The sequence below is a fragment of the Homo sapiens genome, chromosome 8 (assembly GCF_000001405.40).
Source record: "Homo sapiens chromosome 8, GRCh38.p14 Primary Assembly".
NCBI lineage: Eukaryota > Metazoa > Chordata > Mammalia > Primates > Hominidae > Homo > Homo sapiens.
In genome coordinates, this window is record NC_000008.11 from 37,417,603 (window position 1) to 37,441,225 (window position 23,623).

General features: G+C 40.0%; 1 long non-coding RNA gene across 8 annotated transcripts in view; it reads right to left on the minus strand.

The window, feature by feature from the left end:
• LINC01605 (long intergenic non-protein coding RNA 1605) overlaps window positions 1–23,623 on the minus strand; it is a 196,324-nt gene that overhangs the window by 14,087 nt on the left and 158,614 nt on the right. For 7 of the 8 annotated variants that reach the window (NR_170189.1, NR_170193.1, NR_170186.1 and 4 more), the window contains one exon: window positions 3,739–3,967. This is a non-coding gene — a long non-coding RNA (long intergenic non-protein coding RNA 1605). Of the gene's footprint in view, window positions 1–3,738; window positions 3,968–13,529; window positions 13,575–14,146; window positions 14,186–23,623 lie in introns of all 8 variants that reach the window. The other variant, NR_121620.2, reaches the window with a different exon arrangement.

The following is a 23,623-nucleotide window of genomic DNA, read 5'->3' on the forward strand; positions in this document are numbered from 1 at the left end:
GCCCCCAACCCCAATACCAGATACTATTCCTGTATAGTATAGATACTATACTACCAGATCTTGCTGGGTGTTCCATCCATCTGACTCGATCACCCATGCCACCTATTCCAAAATCACAGCTGGGAATCACTCTGGCCCCTTGAGAAATCCCAGCTGTCACCCAAGCCATGCCCTGTGGGACAAGTGGAGCCTGCCATTCCTAGTGTCAGGAATCTCCATGAGAAAGCACCCTCCCCACTGCATACACACAATGTTGTCCTGAGTGCAGCTTATCTGTCCCTACTGCCTCCTTTCCCTCTCACAGTCAGTAGGGACAGCCTTATTGTTCTCTTGTGTCGGTCTCAGCTGGGAAGAGGAAGCTGGGATTGCAGAAGAGGGCAGAAGCGAAAAATGCAAGAGGAAAAGGAAAAGGAGAAAATGCTATGGCCAAATGGAAAGGAACCATCGAAGGTACTGGGATGATGGAATGTGCTATGGTCTCCAACATTCCATTGGGAGTTGCAGACCCTAAAGAACATAAATGATGTCTTTTACCTAAAAATAGAGAAATCAACGGATCACTTTTAAGATCCCTACCAGGATCTTAAGATTCCATTCCAGCTAAGAGCGTTGTTGCCCCATCCAAACACGTGTATGAAATAGTTAACAGCAATATTCTCGAGTTAAATCAGGGAGGATGCCTCACAGTGTTACAGGGAAGCATATGGATCCCCATATTTTTTACCCAAGGCATTCTATTCTAAGCTTGGGCTCAATCTGGAAGTTACTCTTCCCCCAAAATGAGTCTAGCTCAAACACCTTCACCCTATCAGAGTGTAGGGCACTGTGGTGAATATGGGGCAGCTGTCAGGGAGTAGGCATCAAGAAACAGAAAGCCAGGATCATTCAAATCCAAATCCCATGGAAAGTAAAGCTGGCAGTCGGGATTTGACTGATCAGATTAGAGGAAGCCCTTTCCTACGTATCCCAGGTAAAGATTGTTTACTTCAAGAAACCTAGAGGATTTACTTAAACACAGATAATTTTCTGTGGTTAGTAAGGAGGACCTTGATGCAAGGAACGCCATATCCCAACCAGAACCACTGGAGGAAAAAATACATCTTGCTCATCCTGTGCACAAAGCACAGAGAAAAAAATAGCCTAACGTGGAAGAAGAAAAATACAGAGTAAATCATAATAAAAATGACCCCCTCCTCCTCCTCACCCCAGCCACACATGGTTTGGTTAATTCCTTAATGAGGATGGAGTGTAATTAATATCGGAACTCCACTGTATAATTACTGCATATAATTATGCTTGAGTTAACTGTAAAGCAAATCATATATAGTTTGCATTCTATAAGTTTTCAATTCATCTTTTTGGGGGGAAGCTGGGGGGGATTTTATAATATTCTTCAATAAAGAACACCTCTAGGAATAGATATATCAGACGAATCCCTTTGGACATTTCATTCTAGACTGAGATGCCCAGAATTGCCTAATCTAGCAGCTGCACAACCTACAGAATTCTGCCTTTAAAGGCTTATTCCTGCCTGGTAGACCAGCCCAGGGAATGAGCAGCTCACAGGGACACATAAGCGACGACAGGCTAATCGGAACCTGCCTCAGAATTAAGGTCCCCTCATGGTGGCCCAGCTGCTGAGTTCTTGTGTGGCCTCTGCAGGCTGTGTCTGTGTATCCCTGGCCCTTCACCTCAAAACAGTGCATGTCCTCAACCTGGGTGTTTCTCTGTTGTCCCAGGCTCTCCACCCATCCCCAAGGACCTGAACGCTCTTTCTACTGCCTTCCTGGTTCTCAGAGTATAATCTATTACATTCAATAGAGGAAGGAATACAGCCCTCCAACTGCTCTAAAATGCAAACCACATGTGGTTAATGAAACTAGGCCTCCATATGATGATGCACTTTTCGTTTTGTGCAAGCGAGTGAGAGAGACAGAGAGACGAAGAGATCTGGATGGTGGTCTATAGAAGAATCCTAGAGAATTTGGGATGGAGAGAGTTAGCCAAATTGCAGGAGACATTTTCCCCGGCTCCCACTTTCTTCCCACTAACCACCCCCACCACGCAGGTGCTTCTTATGTGGGCCCTTTCCACAGTCTTGGAATATCTGCTCACTCCACCAGGTGCTGCTCTCACTCCCAGCACCACCCTCCCCTCACCCCCACATTCCATTCCCTGGAGTGGCTGCAAGAATCTTTTCCAGGAGCATAAGCCTTTATCTCAGGTGAGAAGACTGCTTGAAAGCTAAACTAATTAATTAATGTTGAAGAAACCTCTAATTCTCCCTTATCAACTCAACTCAATGTCTGAGGGCCCTTCCTTTCTTTGCCCTCGGAAGTGCCTCTCCCCTGTCCATCATTGGACCCTTCATCCATGAGCTTTCTTGCCCCAAATCCCTCCCTCCACTCCTGGGCTTCCTACAGCACTGGGTCTGAGTGGCTGAGCCTTTAAGCTCAGATGTCCAGGCCTGCGTCTTCTGCTGCTGATCAGGAACCCAAGCAGTGAACTCCTGACACCTTCCCTCTAGCCTCCTCACCTCTAGAACAGGGTCTAAAGATTTGACCTCCTTCAAGAATCTCTCAGGCAAGCAGTGCCCCCTCCCACACCTCAAACTCTGCAGGGAGTCAAGAGGGCTTGGAGGGCAGCCAGGTACACTGCTCACCTGTGCAGCCACCACTCCCTCCCCTCCAGCAGCCCCTAGCACCTCCATGAGGACTTACCAGATCCAGAGAAAGGGACAGAACCATCCCCATATGCCCCGCAGTCCCCCCGCCTCCTGTCCCCGCAGTCAGCCTTCAAAGGCCACCCTTAGCCAGAGTAAGTGACACTAAAAACAACGATCCCCCAGCTTCCACACGCCCCCCCTCCCCCGCCTGCCCACTGATAATAATGGGCCAAGACACTTTTATTATCATTATTAATTAGCACTTTCAAGCAATGGAATTAAATCAATATGGTGGACTGAAACTAATTTTAACAAGCCATTGAGATCAATCATTGGGACTTTTATCTACATAAATGCCACTAAACTCAGCTCGTTAGTGTAACATTAGCTGGGAAGAAAAAGAAGGGAGACTGGCGGGGTTTTAATTAGGAAGACATAAACTGAGCCACAATTTTCCTTCTTTGATTTGCTTTTAATCTCGTCTGCAAAGCTCTTCTGGTGCTGCCCAGGCTGATTCTCAGTCCCAGGCCACTTGGGCAGAAAGAGGAGGGGATGAAGTGATGAGAGTTGAGGGGTGAGTGGCTGGGAACACCCCAACATGAGTGGGGCTATCACCCTGCTGATCCTGAGCCCTGGATCCTCACAGTCAGCGCTGACCACTGCTTCCTTTATATTCACCTTTGTTTAGCATTTATTCATTTATGCATTACATGAAATTTATTTATGTTTATTGATTCATTCAATGAACAACAGACGAGCACTTAATATGTGCCAGTCACCCGCTCACTGTTCTCAGAGAATTAAAGTTAAAATGAGCAAGACGTGGTTCTACTCCCACAAAAAAACCTGCAGTCTAGTCTTATTTGCTCCTAGATTGACAGGCTGGAGAGCAAGGACAATGACTCATCTGTCTGTGTGCCCCTCCCCATCTGGCTCTGCAGAAGCCCAGAAATGCTTGGGGTGTGTGGTTAAGAAACCTCCTTCCCTCCCCACCCTTCATTTCTCTCTGTGCCCAGCACCCTGCTCCCTGCTGCCACACCTTCCCTGTTTTGTGGGTACCCAAGCCTACCTACCTCTGGTCTTACTCAGTCTCATAACATTTTTCCAGCCTGATTCCCTGACAAGCTGTGGCTTCTTATTCTTCAAGACTCCGTTCTAGGGCCACGATGTGGAGGGAGCTGGGTGGCTGGCTGCCTGGGCTTCCTCCCGGCTGCTCATTTCTGCCTGTGGGACAGCCATCCCCATGTGTCGCTGTGGTCTTCTCTCTGGTCCTGCTGGCCTCCTGGACCAAGCTGCAAGCATCTGGAAGGCAGAGACTGAACGTGAGCCACATTTCTGTCCTCAACATCTCCTAGGATGCCTGGTGCAGAGCTGGCACTCAATTCAGACCTGTAGACAAGCATGACACCATCTATGTTTACCAAAGACTGGGATAAAACCGCAACTCAGCATTTGAGGTCCACCCTGAGCACTGGAGGTTCTCCAAGTACTTCCTCCTTCTGCCTCTCAGTACAGATCGCGTCTTCTAGGTGTGCTGTGCACATTCCATCACCCACCTTCTGGCTCATCGCACTTGCTCTGCTTCCAGTGAGTCTCACCTTCCCAAATCCTACTCATGCATCCAGGCCTATCTCAAGCCTTCCTCATCCACTAATGCAGACTTCTCTGATTCCGTGAGCCTTTCCTGCCCTCTTCTTGCTTGGCCACCCATAGGGGCCTTATCACAAACTACTTTCTGCTGCTAGCTATATGCTGCACCCTGACTTTTCCCTCTGAATTTGGAATCGAAATCTTCCTATGTGGTGCTGCCTATGGGAAGCAAATCAACCCTCAGTGGAGCAGAGTGCCTGGGGTCAAATTCCAGCTCTACTGCTTATTACATTCACCGCCTTGGGTAAGTTGCTTAACCTTGCTATATCTCCGTTTCCTCACCCGTAACATGGGAACAAAACAGTACCTGCTAGGATTACTGTAGAAATTAGATGCAATAGTTCACATAAATCATTATGCCTGGCACTTAGTAGTTGGTCAGTGTGTTGGTCATTACTACTATCATAGCTGTAATTGTTACTACTATTACCAATTCGTGTGCTCTGATTTCATCTCCATCAAGCAAGCTATTGATTATAATTTGGCTTCCCTACAAGAAAAGACCCTGCTGATCTGTTAAAAGGAGGTTCAATCTACTTATTAGATGTTTCTCATTATAAATTCATAAATTGACATCCTAGATTGCATCTATCAGTCTCTTATAAGTTAGATTTAGATTAAATTAACTCATAAGTCCAGTTCACACTTGTGTATACTAGCAATCAAATTTCTGAGGCTGAGGTCCTAGATCTTGGCAACCAAACCAAGGTACCGCCAACTTGGGGCTTTGTCTGTGCAGCCAGTGTGGCTTCAGGGGCCATATGTCCTTTAGTCTCATTGTTTCACCTCTGTAAGCAAGTTACTGAAAACCTCCAAGCTTCAGTTTCCTCATCTGTAAAACATAGAAAATAGAAAAACATCTGCATCCAATGGGTGCAGTTAACGGTTAGACGAACCAATGAATGGAAAGCACTTGACCATTGCCTTCACAGCTAGGTGCTCAATAAGCATGAACTCTAGGCGCACTTAATTATCCTACTGCCTCACCATACATTTTTTATGCTTACAGTTTAAACAGTACTTTCTATTTACAAAGCCCTTTCATAGGTGTTATCTTACTTCTCATGACAACCACTCCCACCTAATAATAGAGAAGGAACTAGGAACAAACTAAGTCACTTTCCTGAATGGTGGCTGCCAGGGACTGGGGGCAGGGGAAGGGGAGATGTTGGTCAAAAGGTACAGAATTTCAGTTAGATAGGGTAAGTTCTGGAGATCTATTGTACAGCATTGTGACTATAGTTAATAATAATATAGTGTATACTTGAAAATCCCTAAGAGAGTAGATCTTAAATATTCACATCAAAAAACAAAAATAACTACATGAGGTGTTAGGTATGTAAATTAGCTTGATTGCAGTAATCATTTTACTATGTACACTTACATTAAAGCAACATGTTATACATTATAAATACATAAAATTTTTATTTGTCAATTATACCACAATAAAGCCGGAAAAAATTAAATAAAGTCACTTTGTTAAGATCACAGTTTGTAAGTTATGAGACCAGGACTCACACCCAGCTCTTCCAGGTCTTCTTCCCCTGTCTAGTGTCCTCTCTTTATAAAATATCTGCCTATTCAATAAATGAACAACAACAAAACCCCTCTGTTTTGTTTAATTACACTTTAAAACTAGTTTGAAATTTTGGCATTACTCTAAAGTCCCTTCCATGTCCTGGCATCTGTGGCCTTATTAGTCATACTAACAAGCTACCCTAGTTCTAGAGGCCGTGGACAAAAAAAAAACTGATTCACTTGCACTGTGATGACTGTGAAATGTGGGCCATGAATCTGAGAACAGACCAGATTTTCTACATCCTTTGGGCATTTTGCTGGGTGCCTCGCCTTGGGGTCATCCATCACTACAGCATCTCCTGACAAACAGCGAGACAGGTTGTGGGAGAACAGAGGAGCCCCAGGCCCCAAAGGGAGCATCTGGGATGCCTCCCTTTGTCTTTGCGGCTGCTTGTCTGTCTCGTGTAGTTAGACAAGTTCTCCAGCCACAGAAGCTTGGGGGAAAGCAAGTTTACTTCATATTTCATAGTCACAGATCTGGTAGCCTATGTACTGTGAAGTAGCTTAAACTAGAGAATTTCCTTTCTGGAGAGTCCCTACATCTGGCAGCCCCCGAAAACACATGGTGGATGGTGCAGGCCTTGATGGTAGAATCCTTGAGACAGGTGGGACTGCAGCCCCTCAGTGCTCCAGCAAGCTGTCCAGGCACATAGATCCATGGGAAGTCCCATCACTGCCTTGCAGTTCCAACTTTCATCCCAGCACTGTATTTTTACTTAGAAACTAGACGTTTCAATTGCTCTCAAGACTCAAGACTTCTTCTTAAACCAAATTTCTCACCATCCCAATCCCTCATCATCTCCCGGCCCCAAACAAAAATGTCCTGACTTCTTAGTGTCTAACAATGAAACCACCATTCTCAGGGTCGCTCAGACTCAAGACCCTGCCATTGTTTTTTTAAATTCCTTTACCATAATTCTCTAAACTCAAAAAAATAGCTGTAGATGTAGACTAGGTACTAGGTATAGACCTCAGTCACGGCTCCTCTCATCTCAGATTTGGAAATCTACAGCAGTTCCCAAATTTGTCTCCTCGATAATAGGGTCCTTCCCGATCAGTTCTACTAAATCAGGGGATGGCAAACTTCTGGAAAGGGAAAGATAGTAAATATTTTAGGCTTTGTGTCTGTACTACAAATATTACAGGCTCTGTTGCAACTACTCGGTCAGGTGTTGCAGTATAATAGCAGCCAGAGACATAAATGAATGTGCGTGGCTGTAGTATAATAAAGCTTTATTTACAAAAACAGGTGGCAGGCTGGATTTAGCCCAGGGGTTATTATATGCCAACTTCTGTTCTATATTATTCTCATATTAATCTTAAACACCATAGTCCCTATCATTTTGTAGTGTTTGCATAAGTGTAATTAGGTCAAGAAATAAGACACAAACTCCAGTCTACAGCAGACATTGTTGACACCTTGCCTCATAGTCCTTAGTCCACTGCTGAGTTTACCTGTAGCCTCAGGGTGCAGCTCCCAGGAGCACTGAGAGCTTCTGAGCTATACCCACACTCTCTGTTTCACTGCCTGAGGGCTTTCTCTAATACCTTGGAAACTGCTCAGCTCCTGTGCAAGGCAGGCCAGAAATAACCAGGAATTCAACACCATCAAGAACATCCCTCACCAGTAGGAAATGTGAACTGATGTATACATATTACACTTCCCCATCCCTTAGGAAGACAATTCTACTTTTTAAATTTTTTTTAGTTTATTTATTTATTTATTTATTTATTTATTTTTGAGATGGAGTCTCGCTCTGTCACCCAGGCTGGAGTCAGTGGCGCGATCTCAGCTCACTGCAACCTCTGCCTCCCGGGTTCAAGTAATTCTCCTGCCTCAGCCTCCTGAGTAGCTGGGTCTACAGGCACGTGCCACCATGCCCGGCTAATTTTTTTGTATTTTTAGTAGGGACAGTGTTTCATCATATTGGCCAGGCTGGTCTCAAGCTCCTGACCTCATGATCCACCCACCTTGGCCTCCCAAAGTCCTGGGATTACAGGTATGAGCCACCGTGCCCGGCCCAAGGAAGACAATTCTGAGGCACATTCTAGATGGATCCACAGAGAGTCCCAGCAGGGTTGAGAATCAATCCCAAAGCAGAAACCTGTTGGTTCAGGTATCCTCCTCAGCTTCTCTTCCACAGCTGTCACATTTTCTCACCCCCTCACATGCTTCCTAACAACGAAACCATCATTCTCAGGGTATCTAGGAGATTTGTCTCTGAGTCTGAATTCAGGGTAACTAAACTAAGACCTCTTCTGACTCTTAATTCAGGACTCCTTTTTTCCCTGTTAACTTCCTTCAAAGAGTCTACAATGGCACTTTTACTTCTGATAATATAGCAGGCTGAGCATTCTGAAAATATCTTCTGATCCTAACATTTAGGTACTGGATAAATCATGCAAACACTTTTAAATACATTTCTGTGTTTTCAAGGAAGTAAGGAAAGTCAACAAGGGCCACATACTTACATACACAAGCAAAGAGTGAGTGGAAACAGGAGTGGTAAGTGATACCCTGGAAGCAAATGTCAAAAACCCAGAGTTTTGGAGATTAATGTGTGTGATGGTTAGTGCCGAGTGTCAACCTGATTGGATTGAAGGCTGCAAAGTATTGTTCCTGGGTAGGTCTGTGAGGATGTTGCCAAAGGAGATTAACATTTGAGTCAGTAGACTGGGAAAGGCAGACCCACCCTCAATCTGGGTGGGCACAATCTACTCAGCTGCCACCATGGCCAGAATAAAAGCAGGCAGAAGAACGTGGAAAGACTAGACTGGCTAAGTCTTCTGGCCTCTGTCTTTCTTTTGTGCTGGATGCCTCCTGACCTCAAACATCAGACTTCAAGCTCTTCAGCTTTTGGACTCTTGGACCTACACCAGTGGTTTGCCAGGGGCTTTCAGGCCTTTGGCCACAGACTGAAGGCTGCACTGTCAGCTTCCCTACTTTCGAGGTTTTGGGACTTGGACTGACTTCCTTGCTCCTCAGCCTGCAGACGACCTATTGTGGGACTTCACCTTGTGATCGTGTGAGTCAATACTCCTTAATAAACTCCCTTTCATATACACATCTATCCTATTAGTCCTGTCCCTCTAGAGAACCCTGATACAATGTGGCTTTGATGTGAATGGGAAATGGGAGGCCAGGCTTTGGCCTCATGCAAGGTCAAGGAACTAAACTTACTAAGTCCTCCGCATAAATATATATCCTCATTGAAAGGGCTAACTGAAAAAAAGCAGCCTTCTAGCAAAGGAAAACTGTCTCTGTGGTAGCTCTAGATGGAAATATATATAAATAGTCTTCCCTTATAATGTGTAACCTAGATCTGTTCTCACTGGGACATCAGAAGTTTGAATTTGTACTGCTCATATGGAAAAAAATGCCAATCTGAGAAATTGAAGTCTACCTGGTTTAATAGTGCTCCCAATTTCAAACAGAAGCAGATTTTTTAAGGGGAAAAATAAAAACCACAAAGTCCTCAAATCAGATCCCACAAATTACGTTCAATCAAACAAGAGCCCAAGTAAAAATTTAAGAAGTGAAAAAAGTAACAAGCTAACAGAAGCCAGCATCAGTAGAAATGGCAAAGATCAAAGTTATGCCCACCAACAGATTTGAATACTGGGTTATCAGAGAGTGAATACAACTAATTATTAAATTATTTAAAGAAAAGAGATAAAATTGGGAAAATGGACAAAGTGCCAGAGAGTATCAAAACATGGCAAGACAAATTTTTTAATTAAAATGAAAGATACAATCATTGAAATTAAAAACTTCAAGAAAGGTTTTAACATCATTTTAGACACCATTGAGAAATAAATTTATGAAGTGGAAAAGAGCTGACAAGTTATATAGAACTCAGCATAGAGAGGAGGGGGTAGAAAATAGGAAGGAAGGTGAAGTCAAGAAACATGAAGGATAGAATTAGAATTTATATAGCACATATGTAACTGAAGTTACAGAAATAGTCAATGGGATAGAGGCAATATTCAAAGGAATAATTGAAAGAAAAATAATAAGAAATTGCCAAAATTTGTGAAAGATATGCATTCATATAAAAAACAAAATTATATGAAGTAGTATAAATAAAATATAATGCACTCCTATAAACTTTGTAGTTAAACTGCAGAAGAGCAAAGAAAATAAGAATATTTTTAAACACACAAAAGACTGATTGCCAAAAATAAAAATGCAAAAAAGAAATCAATAACTAGACTAACAACAGACTTCTCACTTGTGACAATGGAAGTCAGAATATAATGGAATAATATCTACGATGTGCCAGGAAAAAGGAACTGTCAACTATGGACAGTCTATCCAGAAAACCCACATTTCAAGTTCCTATCAGATTAAAAAATAAAATAAAATAGTTTACCACAAAGATATCCTCACTAAGGAATTTAGCAGAAGATTAGCAATGCAGGAAGAAACTATGAACAATGAAAATGTAACATGTATACAAATCTAACAAATATTGACAAAGTAAAACAAAAGTAATAATATCTATTTTGTGTATTTTAAAACAAAATAACTGGACAATGCTGAAGAGGACAGGGGTAATACAAAATAAAGCATTCCAAGATCCTTGTACTTGAGAAAATTGTAGTTAAGATTCTAATAGATTTTAGACTGTTAAAGTGCACATAATAAAATGTAAATGTTTATCTTTAAATAAATATTAATGGAGTGAATAATTTCCAAGCCAGTAAAAGGAAACCAAAATGAACAACAAACAACCCCAAAGAAGGCAAGAAGGGTGGCGGAGAAATAAAACATAGAAAAAGTAAGGTTAATAGCCTGAAACAACAGGAAGAAATTAATCTATATATAATTTAAAATTATATGAAACTTAGTATATACATAGTAAAATTAAACCTAAAGGCAAGAGAATAATGAATATATAATTCAGAACAATGATCACTCTTGGGGAATAGGAAACACAGAATTGGAAACATATGGAAGAGGAACACAAAAGGAATTCAAAAGTATTGGCTATGTTCTAATTCTTAAGTGGAATAGAGAGCACACAGGTGTTTGTTTTATTCTTCATTTGTTATATTCACATATATATGTATGTTTGCATAAATGAAATATTTCACTAGAAGGTTTTACATTTTAAACAATATCTGCAGTATTTCCATGTTGCCCTATGAAGCTTAAACTCATGGGCCTGGCAATTTAAGTCCTCCACCAGCTGGGCACACCTTCTTGCTCACTTCTGCCCAGCACAGAACATTCCCTCTCATGGGAATTCTTTGTTGTCATTTCTTTGCTCTGCATTTCCACTACCAGATTCACTCACATTTCCAATATTTTATTCATTCTGTTCCCCTCATCTTTCCTTCAATCTACAAAGCAAACGCTATAGTTCCTAGAAGGAAAAAAATAATAAAACATTATTCTCTCTTGGATGAAGACTACCTGAGTTTACCTCAGGGCACAGTTATGTCACAATGATGTGAAATAGTCCCAGGACTAGTGAACTCAGTCAGCTACTGGTGTTCACTGGAGGAGGTGTTCATTGCAGGGGGAGAGGGAGAGTCTTGTCCCTCAACTAGGCAATAAGCTCTTTGAGAACAAAGGCAGTGTCTAAGCTTCTCTTTATCTCTCACTACCTCTTTCCTAGCACCGAAGTCATAAAATGCACTCAAACAACAGCCACTGAAGAAAGGATGGCATGAGAAGAATTCTAAATTCTCATTAACAGACCTTGAGAACCTGGATCTTGAGTCTTTCAGTTGTATCCAGCCATGCATACCTTTCCTACTTAAGCCATTTCTTAAGCCTGTTCAAATTGCTTCCTGCTACTTTTTAGCCATACAGTTCTCATTAAGAAATGTGTATCCAAGACTCAAGGCAGCTCAAATTCAAGCCTCAACAAAAATGACAAATTATATCACACACCATGCACCTTCAAAGTTGTTCACAAACAATAAATTTGTGAATGGCAAAGATGTACTGGGTTGAATTAGGTACTCAAGGCCCACAATTAGATCTCTGCATGGTCAAAACTGGGATCTAAGTCTCTTGACACTCCAGGGTTCTTCTCACTCCCCGACATGCTCAGGGATGTTGCTATATAGAGGTTATAAGGTTATCTTCTCTGCTGGAACCTCATAAAGAGGCTCCTGATAACATAGAAAGAGTTTACACAGAACATGGTGGGAAGAGGCTGTTGTCCTAAAACACCAAATTGGTGGGAACTGAAAAGAAGAAGGTGAGTGTGAACTTGAGGTGGAGGAAGATCTAAAAATTCTTACCATGGCCCACTCCAAGGAGAAAGTGGGAATTATTCTCTGCTAACTCTAGATGTCCATGTGGTCCTAATGACCAGATTATCCATTAAACAATACCTTTTGCCAATAGATAGCTGGAAACCATGGCATTCGATGAAAATTTATTGAGTGTCTACTATGTGTCAGGCATTGTCCTAGGTACTAGGGTCATATCAGTAAACAAAACAGACAAAATCTGCCCTTATAGGGTTTACATTCTAGTAAGGAGATACTTGACAATGAAGTAAACAGGTCAAATGTGTGTTTTTTATTTGCTTGTTTGTTTTCTATTTTTTTGGTTTTTTTTTTTTTGAGACAGAGTCTCATTCTGTCACCCATGCTGGAGTGCAGTGGTGTGATCTTGGCTCACTGCAATCTCCGCCTCCTGGGTTCAAGTGATTCTCCTGCCTCAGACTCCCAGGTAGCTGGGATTACAGGTGTGCACCACTTCGCCTGGCTAATTTTTGTGTTTTTAGTAGAGACAAGGTTTCACCATGTTGGCCAGGCTGGTCTTGAACTCCTCAGGTGATTCACCCACCTCAGCCTCCCAAAGTGCTGGGATTATAGGAGTGAACCACCGCACCCAGCCCAAATGTGTTTTATATCAAAAGTTGATACATGCTATGGAGAAGAATATGGAAGAAAGGACATTAGGAGTGTTAGGAGGTCAGGGTAGACAAATAAGCCTTCCTTAATAAGACAATACTTGAGCACAGGCTGAAATAAAAGAAACAATAAAGAACAAATGCAAAGCAAGTTTCCAGTAGCTCCTAGACGGCCCTCCAGGCCTGATTTGTTGAGCTTTTCCTTAAACCAAGAAGATAACAAAAATGAAGAGCTGGCAAGGCTCTCTACCAAGGCAAAGTCACAGGACTGGCAGAACCTGGCATTAGCAGGCTAAAATGGTAGCTAACAAATCCTGCCTCTCAGGAAGGATAAAGGCCTCCAGGGCCAGAACTCCCCACTTTTATAGCAGAACTTTAAATTCCTTTGCTTCTTTCTTTCTCATATAGATATCACACACTACATAACACACACACACACACACCAGTTTTTAATGGAATAACTGACAACAAAACACTTCCTCACTCCTTTTGGAAGCTTGGAGGCAAACTCTTAGAATGTCTATGATTTCACCAAGTTACTCATGGGATAAATCTATCAAAGCCAAAGAAATTGGTTGGAAAGTGAAGGTTTGAACATAAGCAGTATAACACTCTCTTCTACTGAAACAAAAGGTTAAAAAAATAGTCCCATCAAATTAGCTAGCCATTCTCAGAGTTAAGTCTGTTTCTGGAAGTAAGCCAGATCCCTGTGATGCCCTTAGGAAGTTCGAGACACTAATGTGACTGTGATATCTCACCTCTCATTCATCCTCTGAATCAACATGGGCCTCCTCTTGTATGTTCTATGGAAAAAGCAAGGGGTTTTGGGGTTAGATATGGGTTCTGGGTTCAAATTATCCCAGCTCCGTGTTTTACAGAAACTTGCTTTTTGGCTTAATTTTCTTATTTTTTCTTTCTTCACTCACAATCTCCCCCACCTAGTGCATATCCCCAAGAAAAGATCTGTTTTTCTTGAATGTATTATTGTATTAACCTCCTCATGAGACCTCCAAGGGACATTCTGGAGTAACAGTGGACGGGCCCACACTGTTTTATAAGAGCTTTCTGTTCCTCTGTCTACCCTTCCTTTACACAGCTTTTAAAACCCTGTCCTCCCACGAAATTCAGCTCTGCCTCAACTTGTATAGCATGTTCAGCAAAACAGAAGACTCAATAATTCTACTTCCATATCCTAGCTAATGATGTCCACTCTCCAGGCCATCTCAGGATCCAAGACAGCTGTGGAGCTCAAGCCATCACATCTGTATTCTAGGCCAGGAAGAGAAGAGGCAGCAAGACAAGAAGAGTGCCTCCAAGCTGACCCACCTCCCTTCAAGAAGCCTGCCCAGAAGCCCCACACAATATTTCCACTTACCTCTCACTGGCTAACACTTAGTAACAAGACCACACATGGCTGCAAGAGAGACAACAAAAGTGCCTTGTAAAACATGAGGACCTGTTATTACAAAGGAAGGCAAGAACAGATGTTTGGGTGGGCCACAAATGATCTCTACCAAAAGAGTATAACAAAGAGAACAGGCATGGACATGGGAGGTCATCCAGATGTGGATCCCACACAGAATGAGGATCTCACCCCCTCCTGCTCTCATGGCTTTTCACCTTTGCCCATGCCCACCACCAGCCTGGAGGCTCTTCTGCCCTTCTTTATACTTTTTTTTAAGATGCAACTAATATGACAACTCCAGGAAATCATCCTTCACCATCACCCAGTGCCCTACCCCTCAAACCTCTGTGTTTTTGCATATTATTGTGCTTTTCTCACTTCTTATAATTAGGTCTTTACTGATTTATCAGAATAAGATCCAGAATAAGAATACATCCTTGCACTTTATTAAGTGCTACTCATTTATTCCTATTATTTCTCTTTTTTTCCTTTGTCTTTCTTACTGTCACTTTTCCATATTTTTCTTTCTCTCATTCCCTCACCTGTTCATTGGACCTAACAGGAACATTTAAGGTAGGTCACCATTCAGCTCCACTGATGGTCTATAAAGTCAAAGAGGATTCTGATCTTGAATCTATTATATTAAAGGTTCAAAGTTAAATGGGTCGTTTAGGTCCATTACACCTAAAAAGTCAATACCGCTCCAAGCTGTCTTAAGATACTCTTAGGAAATAGTTAATGCTCTAGGAGAATCTGGTCCAAATTAAGCCATTTCAGTGTCCTTGACCCTAAGAAATGACAGAGCTCCCCTTATAGAATACCATGACAAAGAGTGTGGCAAGGCACAAAAACATCTTTTGCAGGGTGTGTGTAGATTTATGTGAGTTGTGTGAGTTCTCGAGTTACATTAAGATAGCTTTTCCTAACCGAGTCTTCGAGATCACACCCCCATGGTTGGGGAAGATTGAGGAACTGGGAAGACCCTAGTCAGGAGGGAGCAGGTGGGATGCAGGCTTCCTTTCCATAAGCCCTTTGTATCCAAAGGTCTCTGCTTGTCTCTCAGCTTCATATCTTGGAGGTGGGCTACAACAGGGATTGTGGCAGAGGTGGTAAATGCATGGATGAGCTTTCTAGGAGATGAGAGCTAGCTTCAGGCATTCCACAAAAAGGGCCAAGAAGCATGAGGGAGAAATTCCCCAAGAGCAAGGCCTAAAGCCATGGAGTGCAAGCCATTTCTTACAAAGCAAATTATCAAATTTCTTATAAACTTTTAGATTGATCTCCTTTTTACGATCTTCTGTTTTTTAGTAAAGACATGTTTAAATGTCCCATATGTACCTTTATGGGCTACACAGTATAAAGAGAGACATCGCAGGTCAACACTTGCCCTAGGGGTTAAAAAGAAAAAAATTTATTCTTCCTCCTTCTCATCCTTCCTGTTCTCAGTAGTAGCTGAAATTATAATTGCCAAAGAGACAAAAATAATTTACTTTTTCTAAGAAAAGGTAATATTTAAAGTATAAGAAAAATTTTTAAATTTCCTGCCAAAAAAAAAAACTAACCAGGGCAAAATGGGAAACATCTAACATTTCGGGCTTGGACTCCTGTTCTGCCAAGTACTGAGTGACCCCAAACCAGCCACTTAACGTTCCCAAACGTCAGTTTCCTCAGCTATAAAAGAGAGATCTTAAAATCTACTTCACAGTAATGTCATGAAGATTGAAGATTTTAGACTATAAATATAAATTGCATGTCTTGCATTAAGAGTAGATTTCAATAAACGCTTTTCTGAATTTGGCAGACCCTAGAAGGCAAATATCAGAGATTTATGTTTCTTTCCCATAGCCAGATACCTTTCCCTCTATCTAAAAGAGCAGTCTGTCTTCCACTCACCCCACAAGTTAGTTACTTCTCCTAAATGCTTCAAGAAATTGGCATGGTTCACAAAATTACTACCAATAAATTTGTATTGAATAACTAATACTAAAGCACTCCCCCAAAGGTTAGGGAAAAATGGAGTCAGCTAAGTGAGGTTTACCATTCTCTGGAGCTTCCAGTTTATTTGAGGAGACAAGACCAAACCACAGAGATGGTTGGCAAACAATAGCCCTCATTCCAAGTCACTGGATATATCTATGCCATTTATATATTCTGGAGCTGGATGGGGAAGGACTACAGGGAGGGTCTATGGATCCACTGAGTCCTGTAGGAGATGAATTTGTTCCAACACTTCATTTATCACCTGATCACCAGAAGTTCCCACTTTGATTAGTGGGTCACAGTAGCATTTGGGGTCCCTAATGTCAATTCAGAGCCAATTCAGTATCTAGTAAATCCCTGAAAAGTCTGAAGATTTCCTTTCCCCCAGTGCACAGTAACCCTAGTAAATAGCTAAAGGCAACTTTGGGGAAGACTCGAAGGAATATTTACAGAATATAGTTATAGCAGTGTTGCACGTTCTTACTCAAGGGAGCCAGCCTCCCCTTCAATCAAGGGCCTCAGGTCTATGATCTGGCTTATGCCTGGACATTAATTAGGAAGCTAAGACACTCCACTGTGTCCACTCAAATTAAGATCCTAGACATCAGACCTAGAGTATTTCTGTCATGCAAAAGAAGTAATATTGTAATAGGCTGCATATTTATTTCATTCCCAATAATACAGTAATCAATTAGGCACTGCCAAAGATCCCAGCAGGTCATTCCACTTACCTCTTCTTCCTTGCTGTCCATTACAGTAATTGTGTTGACCTTGCCTCTAGTGGTAAAGAACTACTCTTAGCCACTAACTTTCCAGGATCCCCATGGAAATCAGGAAGCACAACTAGTAGCTGCGTCTCTCTGTGTGTACAAAGGAAGTCACCATAATGCTTTTCAAAGATGTTGATGCTCCCTAACATGGTTTGACTCTATGTCCCCACCCAAATCTCATCTTGAATTGTACTCCCATAATTCCCACATGTTGTGGGAAGGACCCAGTGAAAGATAATTTGAATCATGGAGGTGGTTTCCCCCATACTGTTCTCATAGTAGTGAATAAGTTTCACGATATCTGATGGGTTTATCAGGGGATTCCACTTTTGCTTCTTTCTCATTTTCTCTTGCTGCCACCATGAAAGAAGTGCCTTTCACCTTCTGCCATGATTCTGAGGTCTCCCCAGCCATGTGGAACTGTAAGTCCAATTAAACCTCTTTTTCTTCCCAATCTTGGGTATATCTTTATCAACAGCAGGAAATGGACTAATATACTCCCATCACTAATACATACTATTTCCCAATTTTTCCTCTTAAAAAAGGTACTATGTTCTAGGGCTTTTTGGTGTATATAAAGGGGATGGGGAAGAAGGGTATACAATTTGCATATGATAATTCCATCCCAATATTCCTATCTTGTCAAGTCTTGGAGTTAATCTTGAACATTGTGCCTCAACCTCACTGAATTCATGAATTCAGGCCATGTGGAGTCCAAGTTTCAATCAAGCAACCAGGCAAACTAATTTTCAGAACCACTTCTAGCATTAGATCCACCATCTCTGGTAAGTACACATATAAAATCAGCTTGGCTCAATCCAGTTTTATATTCTGTCCTTTTTGTTCTAACAGCCTTAGAATCCAATCCCACACGTTTCCCCCATATTTGTACTGAAAAAAATTAGCAACATCTTGCATTTATTTTGAAGTATAAACTTTTTTTTATTCAGGTCAGACAGAGACAACCAAGGATGGGGACTTAGAAGCTTGAGAAAAATAGGCATCCCTTCACAAGGGAGCTGGTCTAGGTGGGGTTGTTACTGGGAAATAACAGAAAGAGAAAACTAATATCATAATATCATCAGTTAGAGGGGTTGCTTCCTCTAGCAAGGGAGGCTTTAGGCTTTGGAGTTCAAGATGCTCAGTTTCAAACAAGTCAAGGTGAAGATGTGGTATGTCTGTGAATTTAAATTGTTGTCATTCTGCAACCCACACACTGAATTCCAGGTTTAATTTTCTTTTTTAATTTTTTACTTTTAATTTCTGTGGGTACATGGTAGGTGTATATATTTATGGGGTACATGAGATGTTTTGATACAGATATGCAATGCATAATAATCACATTATGGAAATGGGGTATCCATCCCCTCAAGCATTTATCCCTTATGTTACAAACAATCTAATTATACTCTTTTAGTTATTTTTTAAATGTACAATTAAATTATTATTGATTATAGTCACCCTGTTGTGCTATCATATACTAGATCTTATTCATTCTTTGTAACTTTTTTGGTACCCATTAAGCAACCCCACCTCTTCCCCATCCCCACCCCCACTACCCTTCCCAGCATTTGGTAACAATCCTTCTGCTATTTCCATGAGTTCAATTGTTTCTGATTTTTAGATCCCACAAATAAGTGAGAACATGCGATATTTTTCTTTGTATGCCTGACTTATTTCACTTAGCATAATGACCTCCAGTTCCATCCATGTTGTTGCAAATGACAGGATCTTATTCTTTTTTATGGCCAAATAGTCCTCCATTGTGTATAAGTACCATATTTTCTTTATCCATTTCTCTGTTGATAGACACTTAGGTTGCTTCCAAATCTTGGTTATTGTGAACAATGCTGCAAAAAACATGAGGGTGCAGATATCTCTTCAATATACTGATTTCCTTTCTCTTGGGTACTACCCAGCAGTGGGATTGCTGGATCAAATGGTAGCTTATTTTTAGTTTTCTGAGGAACCTCCAAACTGTTCTCCATAGTGGTTGTACTAATTTATATTCCCACCAACAGTGTACAAGGGTTCCCTTTTCTCCACATTCTTACTAGTATTTGCTATTGCCTGTCTTTTGAATATAAGCCATTTTAACTGGAGTGAGACATCTCAATCTCATTGTAGTTTGGTTTGCATTTCTCTGATGATCAATGATGTTGAGCACCTGTTCATATGCCTGTCTGCCATTTGTATGTCTTCTTTTGAGAAATGTCTATGCAAATCTTTTGTCCATTTTTTTAATTGGATTATTAGATTTTTCCTATAGAGTTGCTTGAGCTCCTTATGTATTCTTGTTATTAATCTCTTGTTGGATGGGTAGTTTGCAAATATTTTCTCCAACAACTAATTTTGTTGATTGTTTTCTTTGCTGTGAAGAAGCTTTTTAACTTGATATGATCCCATTTGTTCATATTTGCTTTGATTGCCAGTGCTTATGGGGTATTACTCGAGAAATTTTTGCCCAGACCAGTGTCCTGGAGAATTTCCTTAAAGTTTTTTTTGTAGTAGTTTCATAGTTTGAGGTCTTAGATTCAAGTCTTTAATCCATTTTAGTTTGATTTTTTTAAATGGCGAGAGGTAGGGGTCTGCTTTCATTCTTCTACACATGGATATCCAATTTTCCCAGAACCATTTGTTAAAGAGACTGTCTTTTCCCCAGTGTATGTTCTTAGCACCTTTGCTGAAAATGAGTTTACTATAGGTGTGTGAATTTGTTTCTGCATTCTCTATTCTATATCATTGGTCTATGTGTCTAACAGTACTATGCTGTTTTGGTTATTATAGCTCTGTAGTATAATTTGAAGTCAGGTAATGTGATTCCTCCAGTTTTGTTCTTTTTGCTTAGAATGGCTTTGGCTATTCTGGGTCTTTTGTGGTTCCATGTCAATTTTGGGATTGTTTTTTCTATTTCTGTGAAGAATGTCTTTAGTATTTTGATAGGAATTGCATTGAATCTGTAGATTACTTTGGGTAGATGGATATTATAATTATATTGATTCTTCCAGTCAATGAACATCATCTTATATTAGGATGCTGAATTTTATCATGCTTTTTCAGCATCAATTTAAGTGATCATATGGATTTTGTCCTTCATTCTATTGATATGATGTATCACATTGATTAATTTGTGTATGTTAAACCATCCTTGCATCCCAGGGATAAATCCCACTTGGTCATGATGAATGATCTTTTAAATGTATCATTGAATTTGGTTTGCTATTAATAGTATTTTGTCGAGAATTTTTGCACCAATATTCATCAAGGATATTGACCTATAGTTTTCTTTTTTTAAATGTGTCTTTGTCTCTTTTTGGTTTCAAGGTAATGCTGGCCTCATAGAATAAGTTTGGAATATTCCCACTTCCTCTATTTTTCAGAATAATTTGGGTAGGATTGGTATTAGTTCTTTAAATGTTTGGTAGAATGCAGCAGTGTATCTACCATCAAGTCCTGGGCTTTTCTCTCCAGGGAGACTTTTATCATGGCTTTCATCTTTTTACTTGTTATTGGTCTGTGCACGTTTTGGATTTCTTTATGGTCAATCTTGGTAAGTTGTATGTGTCCAGGAATTTGTCCATTTCTTCTAGATTTTCCAATTTATTGGCATACAGTTGTTCATGGCAGCCACTAATGAGCCTTTGAATTTCTGCAGTATCAGGTGTAATGTCTCCTTTTTCATCTCTGATTTTATTTATCTGGATCTTTTCTCTTTTTTCTTAGTCTGCCTAAAGGTTTGTCAATCTTGTTTAACTTTTCGAAAAACCAACTTTTTGTTTCATTAATCTTTTGCATTGTTTTCTTCTTTTCAATTTATTTATTCTCTAGTCTCTATTATTTCTTTTCTTCCACTAATTTTGAGTTTGGCTTGCTCTTGCTTTTAGTCTTTAAGGTGCATTATTAGGTTATTTATTTGAGGTTTTTTATTTTTTTTGATGTAGGCACTTATAGCTATAAGCTTTTCTCTTAGTACTGCTTTTACTGTATCACATAGGTTTTGGTATGTTGCATTTTCTATTATTATTTGTTCCAAGAAATTTTTCAATTTCCTTCTTAATTTCTTCTTTGACCCACTGGTCATTCAGGAGTATATTGTTTAATTTCCATGTGTTTGTATAGTTTCCAAAATTATTCTTATTATTGATTTCTAGTTTTATTCCATCGTGGTCAGAGAAGATGCTGGATATTATTGCAAATTTTTAAAATGTTTTAAGACTTGTTTTGTGACCTAACATATGGTCTATCCTTGAGCATGATCTCTATGTGCTGAGAAAAAGAATGTTTATTCTGCAGCTGTTGAATGAAATGTTCTGTATAATATCTATTAGGTCTACTTTGTATATAATGCAGATTAAATCTCATATTTCTTTGTAGATTTTCTGTCTAGAAGATCTGTCCAATGCTGAAAGTGGAGTGTGAAAGTCTCCAGCTATTATTGTATTAGAGTCTGTCTCTCTCTTTAGCTCTAATAATATTTACTTTATATGTCTAGGTGCTCCAGTGTTGGGTGCATATATATTTTAAATTATTACATCCTCTTACTGAATTGACCCCTTTATCATTATATAGTTACCTTCTTTGTCTCTTCTTATAGTTTCCATCTTGAAAGCTATTTTGTCTGATAGAAGTAAGTATAGCAACTCATGCTCTTTTTCATTGCCATTGGCATGGAATATTTTTTTCCATCCCTTTATTTTCAGTCTGTGTGTCTTTATAGGTGAAGTGTGTTTCTTGCAGGCAACAGATCAATGGGTCTTGGGTTTTTTATTGGTGGTGGTGGGTTTTTTTGTTTTGTTTTTTGGGTTTTTGTTTTTTGTTTTTTGTTTTTGTCCATTCAGCCACTCTATATCTTTTGATTGGAGTATTTAGACTATTTACATTCAATGTTATTATTGATAAGTAAGGACTCAGTCCTGCCATCTTGTTATTTGTTTTCTGGCTATTTTGTGGTCTTCTCTTCCTTATTTCTGTCATTCCTGGCTTCCTTTTAGTGAAGGTAATTTTCTCTGCTGATATGATTTAGTTTCTTGTGTTTTTTATTTTTATCTGTTGTATGTTTTTTTGTTTGAGGGTAACTTGAGGCTTGTAAATACTATCTTATAGCCCATTATTTTAGGCTGATAACAACACTGTTTGCATAAACAAACAAACAAACTAATAAAGATGCTATGCCTTAACTTTGTCTCACCCCCCACTTTTTTAACTTGTTATTGCTTCTATTTATGTCTTATTGTACTGTCTATGTCTTGAAAAGTCATTGTAGTTAATATCTTTAATTGGTTCATCATTTAGCCTTTCTATTTAAGATGAGAACAGTTTACACATCACAGTTACAATGTTATAATATTGTGTTTTTCTATGTACTTACTATTACCAGTGAGTTTTATACCTTCAGATGATTTCTTACTGTTCATTAATGTCCTTTTCTTTCCAATTGAAGTACTCCCCTTAGCATTTCTTGTAGCACAGTTCTGGTGTTGATGAAATCCCTCAGCTTTTGTTTGTCTGGGAAAGTATTTCTCCTTCATATTTGAAGGATATTTCCATTGAATATACTGTTCTAGGGTGAAATATTTTTGCCTTCAGCACTTTAAATATGTCATACCACTTTCTCTTGGCCTGTATGGTTTCCACTGAAAACTCTGCTGCCAGACATATTGGATCATCATTATATGTTATTCGTTTCTCTTCTCTTGCTGATTTTAGGACATTTTATTTATCCTTGACCTTTAGGAGTTTAATTATTACATGCTTTGAGGTGGTCTCCTTTGGGTTAAATCTGCTTGGTGTTCTATAACCTTCTTGTACCTGGATATTGATAACTTCCTCTAGGTTTGGGAAGTTCTCTGTTATTATCTCTTTGAATAAATTTTCTACCCCCATATCTTTCTCTACCTCTTCTTTAAGGCCAATAACTCTTAGATTTGTCCTTTTGAGACTATTTTCTATATCCTGTAGGCATGCTTCATTGTTTTTTATGATTTGTTCTTTTGTCTCCTCTGACTGTGTATTTTCAAATAACTTGTCTTCAAGCTCACTAATTCTTCCTTATGCTTGATCAATTCTGCTATTTAAAAAACTCTGATGCATTCTTTGGTGTTCTAATTGCATTTTTCGGCTTGAGAATTTATGCTTGATTCATTTCAATTATTTTAATCTCTTTGTTAAATGTATCTGATAGAATTCTAAATTCCTTCTCTGTGTTATCTCAAATTTCTTTGAGTTTCCTCAAAGCAGCTGTTTTAATTTTTTTCTGTCTGAAAAGTCTGTTATCTCTTTTTTTCTAGGATTGATCCCTGGTGCCTTATTTAGTTCATTTTGTGAGCTCACGTTTTCCTGGATGGTCTTGATACCTGTAGCTGTCCATCTTTGTCTGGGCATTGAAGATTTAGATATTTATTGTAGTCTTTGCAGCCTGGGTTTGTTTGTACCCATCCTTCTTGGGAAAGTTTAGATACTTGGAAGGACTTGGGTGTTGTCATCTGAGCTGTGTCTGCTTTAGGGGACACCCTAAGCCCAGTAATACTGTGATTCTTTCAGCCTCATAGAGATACTGCCATGATGGTCTTAGACAAGATCTGGAAGAGTTCTAGTTTGAACCAGTTTTGCTTTCTGCTACAGTAGTGCAGCACTGGGTTCAATGCCTCATAATTGCTGCACTCTCCCGCTCCCCGGCACATAGAAATGCTCTCTACAC